The sequence below is a fragment of the Homo sapiens genome, chromosome 11 (assembly GCF_000001405.40).
Source record: "Homo sapiens chromosome 11, GRCh38.p14 Primary Assembly".
NCBI lineage: Eukaryota > Metazoa > Chordata > Mammalia > Primates > Hominidae > Homo > Homo sapiens.
Window position 1 is genome coordinate 129,263,025 of NC_000011.10, and position 16,790 is coordinate 129,279,814.

At 42.4% G+C, this 16,790-nt stretch overlaps 1 protein-coding gene and 1 long non-coding RNA gene across 8 annotated transcripts in view; both read right to left on the reverse strand.

Moving 5' to 3' along the window:
• ARHGAP32 (Rho GTPase activating protein 32) overlaps nucleotides 1-16,608 on the reverse strand; it is a 314,573-nt gene extending 297,965 nt beyond the window's left edge. For 2 of the 7 annotated variants that reach the window (XM_047427929.1, XM_047427927.1), the window contains exon 1: nucleotides 16,467-16,608. The gene's annotated coding sequence lies outside the window, so the exon portion shown is untranslated. Of the gene's footprint in view, nucleotides 1-3,842; nucleotides 4,150-16,121; nucleotides 16,188-16,398 lie in introns of those variants that run through there. The other 5 variants (NM_001378025.1, XM_047427926.1, XM_047427930.1 and 2 more) reach the window with 4 other exon arrangements.
• LOC399975 (uncharacterized) overlaps nucleotides 1-16,790 on the reverse strand; it is a 49,387-nt gene that overhangs the window by 29,247 nt on the left and 3,350 nt on the right. The gene's annotated exons all lie outside the window — the stretch shown is intronic.

Genomic DNA, 16,790 nt, shown 5'->3' on the forward strand with positions numbered 1-16,790 from the left:
AGAAACCTGGATATTCACACACAAAAAATGAAATTAGAGTCTTACCTTATACCATATACAAAAATTAACTCAAAGTGGATCAACGATCTAAACATAAGAGCTATGGAAGTCTTAGAAGAAAACATAGGAGGGAAATGTCATAACACTGGATTTGGCAATAATTTTTTGGACATGACACCAAAAGCACAGGCAATAGGAAAAATAAACTAGACAACATTAATATTAAAATGTTTGTATATCAAAGGACACTATCAACAGAATGAAAAGGCAATCCACAGAATGGGAGAAAGTATTTGAAATTTTATACCTGTTAAAAGGACTGATATCTAAAATATGTAAAGAACTCCTACAACTCAACAACAAAAAAAACTATTTTAAAATGAGCAAAGGCCTTGAACACACATTTCTTCAATGATGACATACAAGTGGCCAACAAGCATATGAAAAAATGCTCACCATCACTATCATTAGGGAAAGGCAAACCAAACCATGATAAGATATCACCTTACCCATTAAAATGGCTACTGGCAAAAAAAAGGAGGAGGAGGAGAAGGAGGAAGAGGAGGAGAAGGAGGAGGAAAATGGGGAGCGGGGAGAGGGGGAGGGGAGAGGGAGGGGGAGGAGAAAGAAGGAAGAAGGAAGGAGGAGGAGGAAGAAAAGAAAGAGAAAAAGAAAGAGGAAAGAGGAAAGGAAAGGAAAGGAGAAAGAAAACAAGCGTGGCCAAGGATGTGAAGAAACTGGAACCTTTGAGCACTCTTGATGAGAATATAAAATGGTACAGCTGCAATGGAAAAAGGGTATGGCTGTTTCTCAGAAAGTGTAAAAATATAATTACCATGTGATCCAGCAATTCCACTTCTGGATGTATACTCCAAAAAACTGAAAACAGGAACTCAAAGAGGTATTTGCATACTCATGTTCATAGCAGCACTATTCAAAATAGTCAAGAGGTGGAAGCAACTCAAGCATCCACTGACAATTAATGGATAAGCAATATGTGGTATGGACACACAATGGAATAGTATTCACCCTTAAAAAAGAAGGAAATCCTTCCGCATGCTACAACATAGATGAACCTTGAGGACATTATGCTAAGTGAAATAAGCCAGTCACATAAAGACAAATATTGTACAGTATAATCCCATGTATATGGGGTATCTAAAGTAGCCAAAATCATGGAAACAGAAAGTAGAATGTGGTTACTGGGCCTGGGAGAAGGGGAAAATGGCAAGTTGTTTCACAGTCATAGAGTTTTAGTTTTGCAAGATGAAAACATTCTGGAGATCTATTGCACAATAATGTGAATATATTCACACTACTAAACTGCACACCTAAAAAATGGCTAAGATAGCGAATTTTATTTTATGTATATTTTACTGCAATAAAAATATCACTATAAGTAACTACCTCATGGGGGCACTTGTGATGATTAAATCAGATAATACATGTAAGGGGCTTAGAAGAGTTCGTAGCATGTCCATAACAATTAAACAGTTAGCAATAACAGTAGCTGTTGGTAATATTAATAGGACAGATGTTTATCATTTGGTGAAACAGAATCCTGAGTTAAGAAGGATTCTAAAAAGGCTCTCCTTGAAGCTCAAGCAAGAGAGTTGAATAGAACCATAGGAGACAGAGAACTTTTGATGGTTCTTGATAGTTTAGAATGACACACTGAAACAAGTTTAAGGAGGTGGGCACGGTAATCTAGATCAAAGGGACATAAAATCAGGTCTGGGAAGGTACTGAAAAGAAATTGGGAAAACTGCTATAATGAGGTTCTGATCATGCCTTGGAACTCAAAAACAGGTGAAAACACAAAGAACCTGTATGAGAATACTGAGCAACCATTCCTTCAAATCTGTGCTCTAATCAATCAACACAACTCTTCATAAGAGTAGGTGGGTTAGCAAGCCAGTACATGAAAGCCAGCTTAACTGCCCATGTCTCACAACCTTTTCCTATTGAAAGTTATCATAAAAATCAGCATGAAAACCTAAAAAGCCTAACCTTCACCATTCAGAAAGTCTCTAACATAAAATCCCTGATTCTCTAGAAACAACACAGAATACAAATGGATAAACATCTTGCTCTACACTCACTGTCAACCTGTTTCCAAACTGGGAGGGAAGTGGACAAATTAAGAATATAAACTATGGAGGCACAAGTAGTTCATGTCTCTCGTGCATTCTAGTACCTATCATCACGGTAAAGAGCTAAAACTGCAAACACAAACGCACTCAAAGTAAAACCTTGACTACTCAGAACTCTTACAGCAGGGTTTCTCAACCTTGGCGCTACTGACATTCTTGACCAGATGGTAATTCTCTGTTGGGAGAGAAGAGAGAGAGGTTGTCCTGTGCAGGAGTAATAGCAAAGAATCTGTTACTCTAAATGTTAAGAATATAAATGTGGAAAACATCCCCTTCTCAACCCGAGTTAAGTGTTCAGAAATCACTTCACATTATTTACAAAGTAGTACTGAGGAAAACACAGGCACTTGAAGGGCAAAAAGACCTGGATTTAAAGTATGAATCAATCCCCCACATAGTTGAGTAAACCTGATCAAGTGACCACAATTTCTGAGGCCCAGTTCCCTTCTATGATAGTACTACTACTAGAGTTACTGGGAGGTTTCAATAAAATAACACTCCTTAAGATCAGTACAAAGTAGGCATTAGATAAAAAAACAAGTGAATTTACATGTAAGCACCAGAACTTTAACTGTTTTACAACAGGAATATTTCTAAAATGTACTGCACACTTTCCTGTCTTATGTAATCTAACCTTATATAAATGAGTTTGAGGTGACCATTTCACACATTTCACACAAACATTACTGTAGTAACTAAATATAATACTAATCTAAAGAAGAGAGCTATAAAAAATGAGTAACACATAAAATCCAGTTTCAAGATGCTCCATCAATTGGTTGAATCTCATAAAAATAATTCTGTTTAGTAGGGATTAAACATAAAACTGAATATTTAGATTAAAAAATAACAATAAAAGGAAAACAATGTAACAAAATTTGGGAGAGAAAAGCTCTAAAAAATGTAATTTCCTACAAGCCCTAGATGAATAAGAGTGACAAGTTATCCCAAAAAAAGGTACACGGAACACAATTTGGGTTAGTAGAGAGAAATACCAAAATAAGTCATAAAAACGGAGTTCTAGTTTCAACTGGCCTACTTGAGTAAGAAAATGTCACTAGATAAGTGACTTAACCTGGATCTATTTCCCTACTAATAAGAAGGGCACAAAACCTACTGTGACACCTCTTACTCTTTCAGGTGGACCAAGTGATAATGTTCATTAAAATATATATATATATGCTCCTAAACCTGCCCATAAAGCACCTGATACTGGTAGCATAGTAGCACTGGTACAGGCACCCTGGGGTAAATAGGTCATCCTGCTGGAAAAGTGATCAGCCTAGAAGCTCTTGCCACTCTACCCCTGACAATCCTGGGAACTAAGGGAATCAGTATTTCTGGCCCATCTGTAACACATTCAGAGAACTGCTGGCACACTGGTTAGGAAGCTCTAACTAAAACATCACATCTAATTTGAGGCACCATAAGAGAGATTGTACCATTTTCCACAATAACCAACTCTAGCAATAGGACCAAAACCAGAGTTTTACTTGCATAGAACAGTACTGCTTAGACCTAAACAATGGCACCCATCCTGGGCCTCAAGCTTTAGAGGGCCTTGCACTGGCCTTCCTCTAACCATACCCCTGACCATGGGGCCAGCTATGCTAAGGGCCTAAAGGATGTGCCCATCTGCAGCCTACGTGCCCCAGCCCTCATCTTGACCGGGACCCCAAAATCTCCCACCTCTTCCAGGGTCTGCTCAGGCCTCTCCCCTGAGTCAGTTCTCCTAAGGACAGATGACCCAACCAACAGTATTTACAACCCTAGGCCAAAGAATGGCCAAAGAGCTGCTGTTTGGAGGGTGTACAGGCTGGAGTTCCACAGACACGCACATGCAAACTTCATAGTTCAAGGAGCCTGGGGAAGAGAAGAAGACCTCAGGTCAGAGGCTGACTCTCTGCACCTCAGCTTGTTCTAAAAACAAACTCAGAGTTGGGAGGCCAAGGAGGGTAGATGACTTGAGATCAGGAGTTCGAGACCAACCTGGCCAACATGGTGAAACCCCGTCTCTCTAACAAAAATGTAAAAATTAACGGGGCATGATGGCACATACCTGTGGTCCCTCAGCTACTCAGGAGGTTGAGGCAGGAAAATCACTTGAACCTGGGAGGCGGAGGTTTCAGTAAGCCAAGATCATGCCACTGCACTCCGCTCCAGCCTGGGCAACAAAGCAAGACTCTGTCTCAAAAACAAAACAAAAAAACAAACTCAGAGGAATCTGAATTCTCTGACTCTGATCTAGGTTATTATGAAGTTTTATTTGATAAAGTCAGCAAATGGAACATTTTCTATTTATCAGTTAACTTGACTGATAATTTGTATAGACATATGTTTCGAGACCCCGTCTCAAAAACAAAACAAAAAAAACAAACTCAGAGGAATCTGAATTCTCTGTTTGACTCTGATCTAGGTTACTATGGAGTTTTATTTGATAAAATCAGCAATGGAACATTTTCTATTTATCAGTTAACTTGATTCATAACTTGCATAGACATATGAACCTCGTCTTAGTCCGTTTAGTACTGCCATAAAGGAACACCTGAAATTGGGTAATTTATAAAGAAGGTTTATTTGGTGCACAATTCTGCCAGCTGGAAGGTTAGGCATCTGGTGAAAGCTTCAGGCTGCTTCTACTCATGGCAGAAGGCAAAGGGGAGCCAGCATGTGCAGAGATCACATGGTGAGAGAGGAAGCAAGTGGAGGGAGGTACCAGGCTCTTTTCCACAACCAGCTCTCTGTGGGGAACTAACGGAGGGACAGCTCGCTCACTCACCCCCCACCCACGGAAGGCATTAATGTAGACAGGAAGGCTCCACTCTCATGACCCAAAAACCTCCTATTAGGCCCCAACTTCAATGCTGAGGATCAAATTTCAACATTAGGTTTGGAGGGGTCAAATATCCAAACCATAGCAGATCTGCAATTTGTATCCCTACCCCGAGTCCCAAAAATGTTAGGGATGGGCCTGAAAAATAATCTAAAAACCTTGTCCTATGAGGAATAGTTGAAGAAAATGAATCCATTGAGCCTAGAAAGAGAAAAGACTGGTGGGAAGATAAAAGAACTAGCCATTTTTCACAGACAGCTAAAGAGCTATCATGTGAAAAATAAAGCAGATCTGTGTGGAGTCAGAAATGCATGGAGTAGTGTTCCAATTTCATAGAATGAGATACATTTCCTAACAATAAGAACTCTTTTTAAAAAGTTAATCGGTCATGTGAATAACTGAGTTTTCAGACAGTAAAAATAAAGAAGCAGAGGGTAAGTACCTCCCAAGGATAATGTAGAAGGAATTCTGATATTAGAGAAAGGCAGATGGCATATTCCCTGGGGGCCTATATAGCGGCAATATGAAGATATAGCTCTATATGCAGAGACTAGTGGTATGAGACACAGGCAAAACCAAAGTTACACCCTGAAGTAACCTTTCTTTCTTTAAAAGTTCCTGTCATCTTGCTCTTTCGTTATTTGCCTCCTCACCAAAAAAAAAAAAAAAAAAAAAAAAAAAAAAAGGTGAATTCCTCCATTCTTCAAAATTAGTTACTAAATAGAAGACCAAAGCAGCCTTGTCTCAATGGATTTTTCACCCTCCAGCAAATCACAACTTTCTCTACTGCTACCAGCTGGATCCTGTGACTTCTCATTATTGCTGAAAACCCTGCTCCATTTCTAAAAGTGACTCTAGCACCTCTCTATCATCAACAAATGTTTATTAAGTAGGAATGCTAGAGATACAGCAGGAGCCTAGACAAAGCCCTCACCCCTTGAGTAGCTCAGAGAGAGGGGGGTTATAAATTAAACACATGGCCGGGCACAGTGGCTCATGCCTATAATCCCAGAGCTTTGGAAGGCCAATGCAGTTGAATCACTTGAGTCCAGGAGTTCGAGACCAGCCTGGGCAACACGGTGAAACCCCATCTCTATTTAAAAATACAAAAATTAGCCAGACGTGGTGGTGCACACCTGTAATTCCAGCTACTTGGGGGCTAAGGTGGGAGGACTGCTTGAGCCCAGTAAGTCGAGGCTTCAGTGAGCTGAGATCGCACCACTGCACTCCAGCCTGGGTGACAAAATGAGGCCCTCTCTCGAAAAATAAATTAATTAATTAATTAAACAAATAAGCAAATAATAAATGAATATGAAGAAGACAAAATGGGATGATATAAAAGAAAGAGGTGGGGGTGCTACATATACAGGTAATCATGATGGTCTCTCTGGGAGAGGACGAAGGCAGCCATGACGAGACTTAAAAGAAGTACATGGCCAGGCGCCATAACTCACGCCTATAATCCCAACACTTTGAGAGGCTGAGGCAGGTGGATCCTTTGAACCCAAGAGTTTGACACCAGCCTGGACAACATAGAGAGACTTCGTCTCTACAAAAATTACAAAAATTAGCCCGGCACAGTGGCACGCACCTATAGTCTTAGCTCCTTGGAAGGCTGACGTAGGAGGATCACCTGAGCCCAGGAGTTCGAGGTTACAACGAGCTATGATCACTCCATCCTGGGTGACAGAGTAAAACCCTGTCTCTAAAAAAAATTAAAAATAAGTCATTTTAAGTAAAAGGAACAGCAAACACAAATCCCTAAGACAGAACGTGCTTTTATTCAAAGGGAAGAAACAATGTCATATACCACACACCCATAAGTATGGCCAAAATTTAAAACACTGACAACACCAAATGTGGACAAGGATGTGGGACAACAGGAACTCTCATTCACTATTGGTGAGGTTGTAAAATGGCACAGCCACTTGGGAAGACAGTGTTGCAGTTTCTTGCAAAACTAAACTTATTCTTAACATATGATCCCGCAATCGCATGCTTAGGTATTTACACAAGATGAAAACTTACTTATTAAAAAAAAAAAACCACACCCAGATGCTTGTAGCAACTTTATCCAGAGCTGCCAAAACTTAGGAGCAACTAGGATGTCCTTCAGCAGGTGAATGAATAAATAAACTGTAGTATATCCAGACAATGGAATATTACTCAGCAATAAAAAAGAAATGAACAATCAAGCCACGAAAAGACAGGGAAGAAACTTAAATGTTTATCCTAAGTGAAAGAAGCTAGTCTGAAGAGGCTACATACTCTATGATTCTAACTATATGACATTCTGGAAAAGGCAAAAGTATGGAAACAGTAAAAAGGCTGGTGGTTGACAGGGGCTGGGGAGAGGGAGGGATGAATAGCCAAATCACAGATGATTTTCAGCAGAGTCAAACTACTCTATAAGATACTATGATGTGGATACATGTCATTATTAATTTGTCCAAATCCATAGAAGGTACAACACCAAGAGTCAGTCTTTTTTTTTTTTCTCCTCTCAGAACAAGTGGGAAAAATGAGTGAATCCTAATGTAACCTATGGACTTCGGGTGATAATGATGTTTCAATGTAGGCTCATCAACTGTAACAAATATGCGACTCTGATGTGGGATGCTGATAATGGGGGAAGCTGCATATGTGTAAAGACAAGGGGTATACAGGAAACTTCTGCACCTTTAGCTCGGTTTTGCTGTGAACGTAAAAATAGTCTACTTAAAAAAAAAAAGGAACATCACTGAGACTGTGGCTCAGTGAACAAAGAAGAAAAGAAGAGAGAGCAGAAGATGAGAGCAGAGAAGCAGCCAGGAGCCATATCACACATTACAAACATTTTGGACCACATAATTTTTTGCTGCTGGGAGTTGTCCTGTGCATTACTGGATGTTGGATGTTTAGCAGCCACTTTGGCCTCTACCCACTAGATGCCAGTGGCAACCTACCCCAATTTGTGACAACCAAGAATGTCTCCAGACATCACCTGAGGGGAAAATCTTCCCTGGTTAAGAACCACTGATATGGAGCCTCATAAGCGACCAAAATGAAGGGTTTATTTCCACGGTAAAATGTTAAGTTTTTGTTTTAGCATTAAGTATATTGGAAAGCCAGTAAGCAGAATGATACGATCTGATTAACGTTTAACATTATTTTGGCTCCCGTGTATGGTAAGAATGAGGGGAAGGACAAGGACAGGAGTAGAAGCAGGGAAGTCTGCTGGCAGTTTGCCAGACGACAAAGCCTACTAGCCTAGCCTAGCCTAGGTTTTTGCCAGTGAAAAAAGTGAGATGTAGTCAGGTTCGGTTTATATTATAAAGGTGGAGGTGACCAGACTTAACATGAGATGAGGAGGAAAAAAAGAAATCAAGGAGGAGGAAGAATCCGGGGTTCTGGCCTGCGCAAGTGGTGGATGATGATGCCACTTACTGAGATGGTAAAGACTTGGGGGAGGTAGAGGAAGAAGTCACCAACAGGAAGAGTAATTCATAGCCCTCCTTTGTTCATGCTGCCTTTGAGGTATCCATTAGACATCCAAGGAGAGGCATGGAGTTACAAGAGTCTAGAGCGCAAGGGGGAAAAAAGTCAGTACTAGAAATAAGAATTTGAGCCTCATCGGCATATAAATGGTATTTGAAACCAAAAATTGGATGAAATCACCTGAGGGACATTCCAAATTTTCAAGGAGTGGGAAAGTAGAGATAAACTGGCAAAAGCATATAGAAAATGAGAATGAACAACTAAGAGGTCAAAACTAGTAAAGTTGGCCACTGTGAAATGCTGGTGAGAGAGGTCAAATAAGATACAAACATTGAACTGACCACTAGCTTTGGCAAGATCCAGGTCACTGCAGTCTTGATTAAAAACAATTTCATTGGAGTGCAATTAAAAAAAGAAATCAAGGATAAGGATGACTCCAGGGGTTCTGGCCTGCACAAGTGGTGGCTGATGATGCCACTTACTGAAATGGTAAAGACTTGGGGGAGAGAGAGGAAGAAGTCACTGGCAGGAAGAGTAATTCATATGATGAGCTCAAATGATCAGGCTAAAGAATCACTGGTGAAGAAGAAGGTACAGCAAATATAAACAACTCTTGAAATTTCTGCTGCAAAAGGAAACAAAAAAAGGACAATAAATGTAAATGAAGGGGATCCCAAGGTAAAGGTGGTTTAAAAGGTGTGATTTATTCATTTAAGGCATCAGTAGCTCAAGAGATAAAACTTTATTCCTCTCTCACCTAACCACCCAAAGATAAATGAGAAGTACAAGGCTAGGAGGCAGTTCTGCTCCACAAGATCATCTAAAAATCCATCTTATTCATCCATCCCCCGCTAAGGTATTGCCCTCACCTTTGCAGGTTGAATAATATGCCCCATCAGTGCATTAACATCCTACACTCTCATCTGCAAAAGGGGATAAAGAGAAAATAGAAAACGATTAGCTTCCTTTCTAAGGCTACAACCCAGAAATCACACATACCACTTATGTCCACATCCATTTAGCCAGAATTTAGTCCACATCCAACTATAAAAGAGAAGCTAGGAAATGCAGTTTCTAGCTGGGCCAACATGTGCCCAGATAAACCCTGAGGATCCTATATACTAAAAGGAAGCCACAGAGAATGGCATTGGGTAGACAACTAGCTATCACTGCTGCAAGTAACAAAAGGCATGGATGCTAACTGAAAGAGGATTCAGTAAAGAGAGAATGATATCTTAGGAAAGAAAACTGCTAGAATAGAAGACCTGTAGGCAAGAAGAAATGAGATCCAGGCACAAATGTACTGCCTCAGGAACAAGCTCACTTTGGTCTCTTGTCACTTCTCGCACGCTTTATTTTTCAGAAGGGTTATCCGTTGATTGCATTTCTAGTAAATTAAAGTAAACCTTTCCTTCCATCTACTAAATCAATTACGCAGAATGTGTGTAAAAATCTGGCTTTAATTGAGCAGTTCTTACTTGGGTTGTCTACCAACAGGTTGATTCAGAGCTGCTGCTTCTCCATCAAAGACAGAATGACCAAATTTCAGAGTTGGAGGGAGTCTACAAAGCCCATTTTACATGTTCAAGGTCACAAGGCTACAAAGTATCCTCTCCAATAGTACATCACAAGTCCTCAAACTGCCAGATCATTCCACTATCTCCTTGCTTACTTATAATATTCCTTTTCATAAAATAGTTTGTCTCCCCATGAAATGAACACCTCCTGAGGGCAAAGACTCAATGACACCTTCTTACCTATCTATCTTCCACTGCTTGAAGCATGGCAGGAGACACACAGATGTACTCAGTGGATACTTGTCAGTTCACAGATACAAAGAGATGTGGTTTCCCTTATCCTACTGTGTCAGGATTGCTATTCCTACTTAATCTGGAGGGCCACTGAATATAAAACAAGAAGGAAGGTCTGTCAGATTCTCCTTAGGTAGGTCAATGGAAACTGGACCTTTGGAGACAGAAATTACTTGTCCAAAGTCACAAGCTGTTTACAACAGAGCCAAGACAAACATCCAGGTCCTCTTGACTCCAGGTTCAAAACTCATTTTCCTGTTAAAAGTTGCTTCACTTTTTTGGTCTGTGTTTGATATCCTGGGTAATTACTGAACTTCACATGATATATTCTGCACAGCTACTGAAGATGCTACTCATCTTAAGAGTCCTTCAACCACCTATATTTCTCCAATGAAAGGAGGAACAGGAATTACTGTTTCCATGCTACACACAGGGAATAAAAGCAGTGGAGTCAAATGGCTTGCTTCACATCACAAGGCTGAAATCCAAATAAGGATTTTACTATTTTTAGGGCAAACTGATAGAATTTTCTAGAAGATTCTCTCCTAGAGTATGATGCTTATCTTTTCAAACAGAGACAAATTGGACATAACATTTCCATAATGAATGGTTCACACATGCTTTTCCTCTCAATGCTTTCCATCTCCACAGCCTCCAATATTATGTATATTATAATCCAGGATATAAAATAAAATAGTAAATAGATACATAGCCGGAAGCAAAAAAAAAAAAACAACTGTGTTTTGAAAGCCAGAATTTTACTTCTATTCTGAACATTCAGATTCATGTTTTTCTCATGAGAAATTAAACCAAACACCCATTTCTCACTTCCTCTTACTTGTCCTACAACAATCTCCTTTAAATACAAGACTAGCCCTCCCTTGTCCAGTAAAACTGAAAATATCTACTTTATAAAATCCTTACACTTTACTACCTTGGGGAATATTCCTGCTCAAGCTTCATCTCTCCAGATAGGAAACGTCTGGTTTGGTTTGTTTTTTAACCTCAAGAGAAAACTCTGTCGCATCTCATCTTCTTTAGGTCTACTTTTTTTGAGGTGCTATAATCAGAACACCTTTCCAGGTGCTGTTCCCTGGTTTTGTGGAAGAGCCCTTCTGCCTCCATCTCACTGTTCCACCGAGGACAGCGTGGGAACATCAGTGCCCTCCCCTGTCTCCTCTGGATCATCTCACTTCACTGAAGCATCAGCTAAGGCCAAGAAACTGTACAGTTTGTAGAACTGCAAGAGCCACAATGACCCCAATTCTATTTTGTTTAACTCAGAACAATGGCCTTTTTTATTTGCTCACTCTTAGTTTGAGATTAATGTTAATAAACCAGCATTTGAAGTTGAGAGGCACACCAAATTTCTCAACTGTAAGATAATTTAAATCAAATACTTCAAAAAGCAGTGTAATATAAAAGTCTCTGGATAGTAAACTAGATCTATTTAGAAAAAAAAAATTAGCTTTTATTATTTCAACTCTGAGAAGCATGCCATAAAGATGTTAATGCAAATCATAAGGAAGACTTTAGAGTACATATACATATGGGGAAAATTATCCAACCCTGGCCTAATCAAAACCGACTTTTCTCATTCATCTTTCTAAAAAAAAAAAAAAGCCAGTACCAGTACCAAAATAGAAGTGGTATTTAAATCCAATTTATAAACTTAAGAACATTATCGGGAAATTATCAAGAATCAGGATCTATAAAAAACAGAAGTATCTTTCCACCCATTCTTAATGATCTGAAGTCAGCAAGTGATTAATAAAAATACACTACAGCATACAGGAAATTTCTCAAGTTATTCCGCTTATCAGCTGTTAACTAAGTTTCAGCAAAGGAGAAAATTCTATAGCAAACAGCATAACACTCAGGAAAATAACTCTATAATCTGGAGGTGATGGTAATATAAAATATTTTAGGCATACTTTCAGGTTAGAGTTTCTAATCATCATCATCTATCACTTACTGAGTGCTTACTGTATGTCAGAGATTGTGTTAAGCCTTAATATGTACCATTTCATTTAATCCTCACTACAACCTTCCAAGGTAGATACTACTGATATTCCCTGGTCACAAAGGAAATCTCTGAGGTCCCACGACATTAATTAGTTTGTCCAGGATCAATGTTTATAAATATCATAGCTGGTATGTGAACTCAAGTCTATCTGGCTCCAAAACAAAAATTAGTACCTTTCCAGGATTCTTAACCTTATAATGGCTATGATAGGAAATAGCACATATGCTAATTAAAGTAAAAAAAAAAGTTAAGTCCTAAATCGGGGGTTGGAAAACTTTTCTTTTAAAGAACCAGATAATAAATACTTGAGGCTCTGCAGGCCGAGCTATGAAAGTACTCCACTCTGCTGCTGCACTGCCAAAGTAGCCACAGACCCAAGAATGAACGACTGTGTTCCTACAAAACTTTACTGAAGGACACTGACATTTGCGTTTTATATCATTCTCATGACATGAAATTTTATCCTTCTTTGGATTGTTTTCAACCATTTAAAAATATAAAAATCATTCTTAGCCATGGGCCAGATATGGCCTGCAGGCTACAGTTTGCCCATCCCTTCCCTAAATAATGCAGACAAATTTAAAATATTTTTTACTAAACAGTTCTTACAAATCATTAACTTGTAACCTCCTTTGGTATTGTGAACTGATACTTTAAAGAAGTTCAAAGTCTTGTCCAGCCTTGGCACAGGCCAGTAGTCCCAGCTGCTCAGGAGGGCAACGCAGGAAGATCGCTTCAGCCCAGAATTTGGAGGCCAGCCTGTGCAACATAGCATGACCCTGACTCTATTAAATTTTAAAAAGCAGCAGCAGCAGTAGCTCACAGTCTCAATAAATTTGATCTGTCTCCAAGTAATTGAAAATTCCAGAGAGTTCAAAATTGCAAGTACTACCGGTGGATTTTCTAAATAAGACAGAGCACAGAATTTTGGAACTAGAAGAAATCTAACACGTTCTCATTCCTTATCTGTTTTTGTTGTTGTTGTTGTTGTTTTGAGACAGGATCTCACTCTGTTGACCAGGCTCAAGGGCAGTGGCACAATGATAGCTCACTGTAACCCCTAATTCCTGGGCTCAAGTGATCCTTCCATCTCAACCTCCCGAGTAGCCAGGACTACAGGTGTGTGCCACTACACTCAGCTAATGGTTTTTATTTGATTTTCTGTAAAGACTGGGCCTCTCTATGCTGCCCAGACTGGTCTCAAACTCCTGGCCTCAAGGGATCCTCCCACCTCTGCCTGCCAAAGCATTTGATTAGAGGTGTAAGCCACCCTGCCCAGCCTTTATATGCATGTTTTTTAAATTTCTGTTACAACATTTAAAAGAGTTTGCTAGGCCAATTTACCAGGTAACATAGGTTAGTAACTAAGTTTATACGTAATGACAATACTTTACATATTTAAAAACAGTTCTGCAGAGCATTTTCATATCCTTTCTATCATCTGATCCTTCACAGCTCTGTAAGAAAAACAATGCAAGCCTTCTGATCCCTATTTTATAAAATGCAAACAAGCTCAGAAATGTAAATAACTTGTCCAAGGAAGGTACGCTGTCACACAGCTACTATGGGGCAGAACTGCAACCACAACCTAACTTCAAGTCCTTGCTGCCTCCTGACTACTTCCATGGACATTGGACTTCACAATCATGGGTTAAATCCGAAAAATTCTCAAGAATATTAGTCTTACTCTTTAAAAGTTCAACTATGTTAAGTTCCTTTTTGTTTCATTCTTCTGCTACCACAGCCTTATGAAGAAAACAGATGCCTAGTCCTTAACATTTATTACATGCGTCTACGATCAACATACAGTGTGCAGATAATATACTCAGGTCAGCTTGGGAAGGAAAACACTTGAATAAGTCAAGAGAGAACAAGCAACAATAAAAACATCGTTTATATAGCACCGAGAGAGAGAGAAAGTAGAGATGAATGTATTGCCATTAGTGTCGCAGGCCAACTTCAGAAAAGCTTTTGGTGACTGGAAAATGATACGGAGGTTAGGAAATGAACACAGAAGGAACATAACTACTGGAATTCAAACCAACATCAAAGGCTCTAAAGAAGACAGTTGAGCCTGTCTTGCTGGTTCTTAGTCTCTCCCTAGAAAACAAAACAGTTACATAACTGGAGAAGGTTCTTCCAACTAACATTTCCTCTCTGTCCCACTTATGTTTTTCTCCCCCACTACTTCACCCTGTCACCCACCTCAATGTGAACGATCATACAGTAAACTGGGCTTCCACCTTAGCTGTGTCCAGACAAGTCTCTGTCCAAAGTGCTGCTTTATACACGGACTGCTATAGGGACCACGGTACGAAGATAACTGGCTTAAACACAATTCCAACCTGACATTTCCATAGAGACACCTGCTCTATGAAGCATCACCATATATCCAATTCCAAGAATGACTCAGACTCCAGACATTCCTGAAAATGGAAATCACAACATCCTAATGCCTCATCTTCACAAACAGCCCCATTAAAAAGAAAACACAACATTGAGTACTTGAAAAACTTTGAGGTCATGTTGTAGTAGTAATTAAAGCTTCTCTTTCCTTCACACTCAAGTCCAAGGAACAAATATCGATTCTCAGTTAGACTTCAATGTATCCAATAAGGAAGGATATATTGAGTCACAACCATAAATACTCAAAAATATTACAACAAATCCAGTCACTGATTCAAACTAGCAAACTGTGGAGACTCTTAAGAGCCACCGCACTCCAGCACCATTTGCTTTTTCTTCTTCCAATAGAAATACAAACATAGACAATGTTTACAAAAGCAACCAATGTATCAGAAAAGTTATCCCCATTCAGACTGACTTAAAAGGTCTAAATCTGTGCCAAATAAAACTCTGAAAGAATAGAAAATAAAAGAGATGCTGACAACAATGCTATGGCCCAGCTGCCAGCTAGCCATGTAGCATCACGCAGTGCCCCAAGCATTTTAAAGACAGATTGTAACTCTGCATTCAGATCAAAATTATAATTATCCAAATTCTATTTCCTAAAAGATGACTATTAAACTGCATCCCAAGCATTCTGCTTGGGTCTCCTCCTTCCTTCCATCTTCAAGTTTCACAAACAGAAGGTGAAGCTACAAAAGGTCCAAGGTAGACTAAAGCTAAGAAACCAAGTCTGATTTTCTCTCCCTACCGTTTCTTGTGTACTGCTTAAGAAAATCTTTAACATAAATATTTGATAAAGTCAAAAAACGGGAAACCAAGGTACAGGGGTGGCGAGGAAGCGAGGGGGAAAAAAGGCACTAATGCACCACCGTCGTCCAACATGCAGCGGCAACTTCAGTCAATCGGAAAGACGAGGGGGGAACTCCACGGGAGCCTAAGGGAGCAGAGACCTCTGGCCCCGCGGGGCCCACGCACACCTGGGGGCGGGACCCGCGATGTCGCCCGCGGGCAGCGGAGGGAAACGCTCCCGCGGCTCCTCCGGGAGCGCCGGTGTCCCTGGAGCCCCCACTCGGCCGCTCCCAGGAGTCGCGGCTGCCGCCCGCCTTGGGCCCGGGGCGGAGAGCGCTGCGGCAGGCCAGAACGCCGTCCGAACGCCCGGCTCGCGGAGGCCGCGGGGAGCGCGGGGCGCGGGCGCGGGAGGCGGTGGGCCCGCAGCGCCGTCCGCCCCGGGAGGCCGGGGAGATGGGGCCGGGGGCGGGGGGACAACCGAGAGGCTCCTCCGGGAGCATGCGATCCGGAACCCTCACTCTAAAAAGAATATTTTAAGAAGGAAAGAGAGGCCCCCCGCAGCCTTCCCCGCGGGGCCTGCCCACGTCACCGGCGCCCCCGGCCCTCCCGCGCGCCCGCCTTACCGAGCCCCGCGGCCCCGCCGCGCCGCCGCGGCGTCCCTGCGCCCCGCTGGCCGCTCCGTGTCTGCCCTCCGCGGGCCGGGCCCGACGCCCTCCGCCCGCCGCCGCCGCCGCCGAGCGCCGCCCGCGCCGCCGAGCCTAGCGCCTGGCCGCCGAGGGCAGCCGCGGGGGCTCGGCCGGGCGTCCCCCGCGCCAGCGCCTCATCCCGCCTCGCGCCCCGTCAGGCTCGGGGGCGGGGGCGCCGGGCCGCGGCCTCCAAGTCCCCACCTCCGGCACGCACCGCGCTCGCCCTCCCGCGGCGGAGTCGGCCCCCGGGGACGCGGGTCCTCGGGCTCCAGAGCCTCTCACCCTGACGCCTTCGGGCCGCCCCCGCAGCGCCCCCGCCCAGCTGGCCGGCGCGTGCCCCCGCCGGAGCCCGCCGCCCGCCCAGCCTCCGCCTCCTCCGCTCCGCCTCCTCCTGCACCCGCGACGCCCGCAGCGGGGAGAAGAGGCGCGCCGCCGCGGCCGCGGGCACGAGCACGCGCGAGGAGGGCGGGCGGCGGGCGGAGCGCGCGCGCGGCCGAGGGGGCGGGGGCGCGCCGAAGCCTCGCCTGCTGTTGTCCCGGGAGCGCACGTGCGCTGCGGTGGGGCGCCGAGGGGCGTTCGGCGGGTGCCCCTAGGGGACTGGGGGAC